This window comes from Homo sapiens, chromosome 19 (genome assembly GCF_000001405.40).
Source record: "Homo sapiens chromosome 19, GRCh38.p14 Primary Assembly".
NCBI classification, from domain to species: Eukaryota; Metazoa; Chordata; class Mammalia; order Primates; family Hominidae; genus Homo; species Homo sapiens.
Window position 1 is genome coordinate 32,314,339 of NC_000019.10, and position 6,192 is coordinate 32,320,530.

A 6,192-nucleotide genomic window follows, 5' to 3' on the forward strand; every position below is an offset into this window, starting at 1 on the left:
GCCGAAATCAGACCACTGCACTCCAGCCCGGGCAACAGAGTGAGACTCTGTCTCAAGTAAATAAATAAATAATAAAAATGAAGATGGCCTTCAATCTTCAATCAAAAAATCATCTGCCTTCTAAGGAGAATCCTGTTAACTGGGGCGGAATGGGTGCTTTGTTTCATTGGGTTTGGGATTGTGAGTTAGAGGATAGGACTGCAGGAAGAGCTGAACAGTTGGGCAAAGAGAGGAGAAAGGTTTTGCACCCTGGCACAATGAAGAGGCAGGTGATTGGGCACTGTCTAGAGGACAGTTGGGAATGACCAAGAGGCTCTGGAAAAGCCCCTTCCCCTCTCTGGGTTTTATTTATTTACTCAACCCTAAAATGGGCTCATGCGTTTCCAACCATCACATTCTAGGATTCTGACTTAAGTTCAGCACTCTCCACAATGCAAAGTGGGGTGATAGCATTTATTAACAGAGCATTTGTGCATTGATATGGAATGTACTTGCTGCATCCCCACATAATGAATTTTCTCACAAATTATATATGCTAAGAACTGCTCAGATTAAACTGTAAGATCACATCAGATGCACTATTGATTTTCGTTATTTTAGTTTTCTCCATCCCTGAGTTTTCTGCAATTTATCCGCCAATTTCAGCAGAACAATCTCTGCCTCCTCTTTCTAGTAATCAGTTCATAAAACTTCAGAACTTGGGAGTTTGAGGAACTAGGCTAGTTTGGATACAATACCTGTCCTTCTACAGGGATGATGACTGTGGACCTCCTGGAGTCAGTAGGGATTCCTCTGGCTAGAGCAGTAGATGTCTTTCAATGGCAACGTGAATCAACAGCCATGCCTGTATACACACTCTTCTTATGAAATAAGGAAGGCTGGACACTGTGGCTCATACCCATAGTGCCAGCACTTTGGGAGGCCGAGGAGGGAGGATGGCTTGAGCCCAGAAGTCTGAGACCAGCCCAGGCGACATGGTGAAACCCCACCTCTACAAAAAAATACAAAAATTCACCGGGCATGGTGGCATGAACCTGTAGTCCCAGCTACCTGGGAGGCTGAGGTGGGAGGATCGCTTCAGCCTGAGAGGTTGAGGCTGCAGTGAGCCAAGATCACGCCATTGTACTCCAGCCTGGTCAACAGAGCAAGACCATGACTCAAAAAATAGTAATAAAATAAAAGAAAGAAAGCAACTTCTGTTATGAAAAAATATCCTGCTAATGCACAAATGCTTTATCCCTCTATTATTATAGCTGCCCACTGGGGAACACTAGCAGCGCTTCTCCATGGACGCTCTCTGGGGTGCCCAGTTTCCCATCCATTTTGCCCTTTTGACCCTGTTTCCTTGCAATGACTAGGCCGTACAGTTTCTAGGCAGCCCCAGTTCCCTCAAAAGGGCAAGCAAGGTAATTTTCCAGCAAAGGAGGCCCCTCCTGACTTTGCAAGGGCCATGTAGGGAGCTGAGATCCTCGGGTGTCCTTTTCAGAATCTCTCCTCTGATTCATTGTCATCCCAGAACAGATTAGCTCTGCAAACAAACACCAAATTATTAAAATTGGACACTGCTCTGCCTCTGACATGGGAAACGGTTACAGATAGCTTTGTATAGAATGACTTCTATGACAGAGCAACAAGATGTACAACTCCAAGGCTATTAAAAACAAAGCAAGATGAAAAGCAAAACCAGAAGGGCTGCTCACCCAAAAACTTTCACGGGAACAGCAAAGAAGTCAAGGGATTATTCATGAGAAAAAGACCACAAATAGAGAAACACTCAATGGCTTAAAGTGTGAGCCTTGGAGACTTGCAATGAGCTCATTCATCACTCACTTACTTTTGTACAAAGGGCCGAGCGCTGTCCTAAGTGCTGGATCCCCCACAACTGAGAACAACCAACAAGATCCTAACTCCTCTGACATTTAAATACCTGTAGGGGGCCAGGCGCCATGGCTCACGCCTATAAACCCAGCACTTTCTTGAGTCCAGGAGTTTAAGAGCAGCCTGGGCAATATGGAGAAACCCTGTATCTACCAAAAGTACAAAAAAAAAATTGCCAGATGTAATAGCATCCACCTGTAGTCCCAGCTACTCGGGAGGCTGGGGTGAGAGGATCACTTGAGCCTGGGAGGTAGAGGTTGTTGTGAAACAAGATCAAGCCACTGCACTCCAGCCTGAGTGACAAAGTGAGACCCTGTCTCAAAAAAAAAAAATCAGTAAGAGGAGACCAACAATTAAGTTGTAAACATATCATAAACAAGATGACTTCAGGTTGGACATGGTGGTCACACCTGTAATCCCAACACTTTGGGAGGCCAAGGCAGGAGGATCACTTGAGACCAGTAGTTCGAGACCAGCCTGGGCAACATAGTAAGACCCTGTCTCTACAAAAAATAATTTTTAAAAATTAGTTTTTAAAAAAGATAACTTCAGAAAGTTGTAAATTCTATTAAGAGAACACAACAGAATAGAGTGATTGAGAGATATTGGCAGGGTCACAGACGCCACTCCTATACCCTGGGTGTTTAGGAAAAGCCTCTCAGGATGTGACATTCAAGTGGGGTGCAGAGAAGCAAAAAAACTCAGGCTAACTCCTGGAGGATTTTGGCTTGAGCAACTCCAGTGAAAATGAATTATCAGTGTGTCAGGATGAATGATAAACCCTTTCCATTATTCTTGGGAGGGACACAAAGTATTCTTTTTGTTTTGTCGGGAGTTTAGGAGCCAACTCGTTAGAAATGTAAGCGGTGGCAACATTCCACTCTGCAACCTGAGAAATACTTGAGCTCTTCTTTGCATATGATGATTTTTAACCTATTTCTTCAGAAAAACAAACTCCAAGCAGAGGTTCGAAACAAATGCTGGCATAAGTGTCAACATCCACTTTGTGAAGGCTCAAAGGCAGGCCCTTTCTCTGCCAGAAATGTGTTTCTCATCTGCAAAGGGCAGGAGAGGCCTTAACCCAACTGTCTGGTTGATGATCCAGACTTCAAACTTAACCCAGTGGGTCTTGGAGCCAACTTAATAGAGAATGGAGTGTCTTTGTTGAAAACTCTAGTGTGTTTTGTGGAGGGGAGTGTGCAAAAGCCAGCTGAATGTGCAAGGGAGGGATGAGATTATAGAAGAGGCAAAATATCAAGGAAGAGAAACTGCAAACAGATTCGTGAGACTCGATTGGCTGCGTAGCAGCAAGTATCATTTCTGTGATTCCTGTAAAGGAATCACACGACGACTTCCAAGTGCATCTGCTTGCTGTGTGGATGGCCTCTAATGAGACACAGTTTCTAGCCAATTGGGTTTCACACCGCTCAGTGCCAGCTTGGCGATTTGTTTTGCATTAAACACTGCAGCCTGTTAACCTGGTGAGTAACTGTTCTGGATGGGCAGCCAGAATCCCTCACTGAACTGCCCTTTTTTCTTAAAAGAAAAAGAAAATGATGATGGTGGGGGTGGTGATGATGATGATGAAAATGCGATCAATCAGGTTACCATCTTAAAACTTGAATTCATTGAGTTAAAATGACCCAGATAATGGGCCTTTTAAAAATATTTTCGGCCGGGCGCGGTGGCTCACGCCTGTAATCCCAGCACTTTGGGAGGCCAAGGCGGGCGGATCACGAGGTCAGGAGATCGAGACCATCCTGGCTAACACGGTGAAACCCCGTCTCTACTAAAAATACAAAAAAATTAGCCGGGCGAGGTGGCGGGCGCCTGTAGTCCCAGCTACTCGGGAGGCTGAGGCAGGAGAATGGCGTGAACCCCAGGGGGCGGAGGCTGCAGTGAGCCGAGATTGCGCCACTGCACTCCAGCGTGGGCGACAGCGAGACTCCATCTCAAAAAAAAAAAAAAAAAAAAAAAAAAAAAAAAAAAAAAAATATTTTCTGGGCCAGGCACGGTGGCTCATGCCTGTAATCCCAGCACTTTGGGAGGCCGAGGCAGGTGGATCACTTGAGGTCAGGAGTTTGAGACCAGCCTGGCCAACATGGTGAAACCCTGTCTCTACTAAAAATACAAAAAATTAGACGGGTATGGTGGCAGGTGTCTGTAGTGTCAGCTACTCGGGAGGTGGAGGCAGGAGAATTGCTTGAACTCGAGAGGTAGAAGCTACAGTGAGCCGAAATTGTGCCACTGCATTCCAGCCTGGGCAACAGAGCAAGGATCCATCTCAAAAAAAAAATTCTGGAACATTCCAGGGTAGTGCTCAATCCTCAATCCATTTTTCAGCCTTTCTGTGCCCTCTGCTCTTGCTGGGAGAACTAGGCCTCTCCGTTTCTTTCATTTCAGTCTCAAGATAATTTAGAGTTCTGGAGTGCGCAACACACTTGGGAATTCGACCTGGAGGTGACTGAGCTGGGGCCTGGGGGCAGTGGAGGGGAGCAGTATAGGAACAAAGACATCAGACTTCATAAATCTCAACTGTAAATGTAAAAGTCCTCCTGTGTCTGACACCACCAGAATTGTAGGATTTTTCTTCTTTAGGTGACAAAAATGAACGGTCCCCAGCAGAAGCAGTCTGTCCATGGTCTCTTTCTCATTGGTCCAAATAAACTTAAAACCTTGTGCTAGGCCAAGAGTCTGGATCCCAAAGCACACTCACCAAGGCTCCATTTGAGCCCCCCATTTACCCTGAAAATACTGTGGTCACCCTCCCCGCATTCCTCCTACCTCTTTCCACAGCAGAAGGGAGGGGGTGTGTCAGCTGTGATACCATCAGCCACCAATGTGTGTCACCGCTCCTTCCACAATGGGACGCTTGCTGGGAAAAACAGCTCATTCTCAAGCCTCCTTCCCTCGAGGTCAGGGCAGGGCAATGGTGGGGATCAGTCTCTGCAGAAGAAGAATCTTGATTTTCTGGATTTCAGCTGCAACTTCTGCTTCAACAAGAACTATGTAGAGCCCATCAGAACTATTAGGCTGCTGAAATGAGTTGATGAAAGCTATGCCCCATCCACATGTGAAACTTACAGGGTGATAATAAAAGGTTTCCGTGGCAATGACAACAAATGTTTTGTTTCTTTGTTTGTTGCTTGTTTTTCTAGGCACTTCCACCAGGGGATGCAATGAATGTTTTTGACCTACAATGAAAAAAAAAAGTCTTCTTAGCTTGCAGAAGTCAGGAAAGATTGTGTGCACATGCATATGTGTTTGTAGGTGTTTGCATAGTGTACATTAAGTGTGAGGTGTGTGTGTGTGTGTCACTTTCAAAGTACCAGAAGCCAAATCATCTGTTGATTTTCTGACAAGGTACATGGTCCTTTTCAACTACCAAAAATAGAAAGATGACCATAAGCAGATGAATATTGTCAGAAAGCACACACCAGACAGCCCTGAGCATTTGATTCAGCTGACATTGGCAACTGTTCACAGTGAGTTTCTGCTCCCATCGTGGTCAAGACAATCCTCCAAGCACTGTGGCCCCTAAGGCCAAGCCCAGAAGTTGCAGGGCTCATTGGTTTGACACCAATATGTGCTGATTAAGAAGCTGCACCCTGGAGAACCACAAATTGTTTTAAGCATTTTGTGATCTAACATCTTTTTTTTTTGAGACAGGGTCTCACTCTGTCGCCCAGGCTGGAGTGCAGTGCTGTGATCATGACTCACTGCAGCCTCGATTCCCCTGGGTTCAAGCATTCCCTCCTACCTCATCCTCCCAAGTAGCTGGGAATACAGGCATGCACCGCCATGCCCAGTTATGTTTTTGGTTTGGGGTGGCTTTTTGGTTTTTCATTTTGTTTTTGTGGAGACAGGGTCTTGCTATGTTGCCCAGGCTGGTCTTAAACTTCTGGGCTGAAGCAATCCTCCAGCTTTGGCCTCTCAAAGTGCAGGGATTACAGGCATCAGCCACCACACCTCGCCTGTGATCTAACATCTTAAGATTTCAAGCAAATATGATTACTTTCCAAAAGAGAATACTTCCCCAGTGCTTCTCTCAAAGAACCCAGGGTTAGCAAGCCATTTGAGACTTGTTTGGTGAAGTGTTTGTGAGATGATTCCATAACATATAAAAGAAACTTAATCAAGGCAATATGAGGCTTTGTGAAAATTAACAGACAAATAACGGGGGCTCTAGAGTTCAATGCAGAGGACTGGGCTGTGGCCAGACTCCCAATTGCAAGAGGGTGACACACATCAGTACACAAAGAAGCAACCAGCAGGCAGGTCACGTCTGAAATACATAAACCCATGCTGTCCGTA

General features: G+C 45.5%; 1 long non-coding RNA gene across 1 annotated transcript; it reads right to left on the reverse strand.

The window, feature by feature from the left end:
- Nucleotides 1–439: 439 nt before the first annotated feature.
- Nucleotides 440–5,072, reverse strand: LOC124904688 (uncharacterized). Its single transcript, XR_007067224.1, has 2 exons — nucleotides 4,663–5,072; nucleotides 440–1,528 (listed from the first exon to the last, which is right to left on the reverse strand). It is a non-coding gene; the product is annotated as an uncharacterized LOC124904688 (long non-coding RNA).
- Between the last annotated feature and the right edge of the window lie 1,120 nt (nucleotides 5,073–6,192).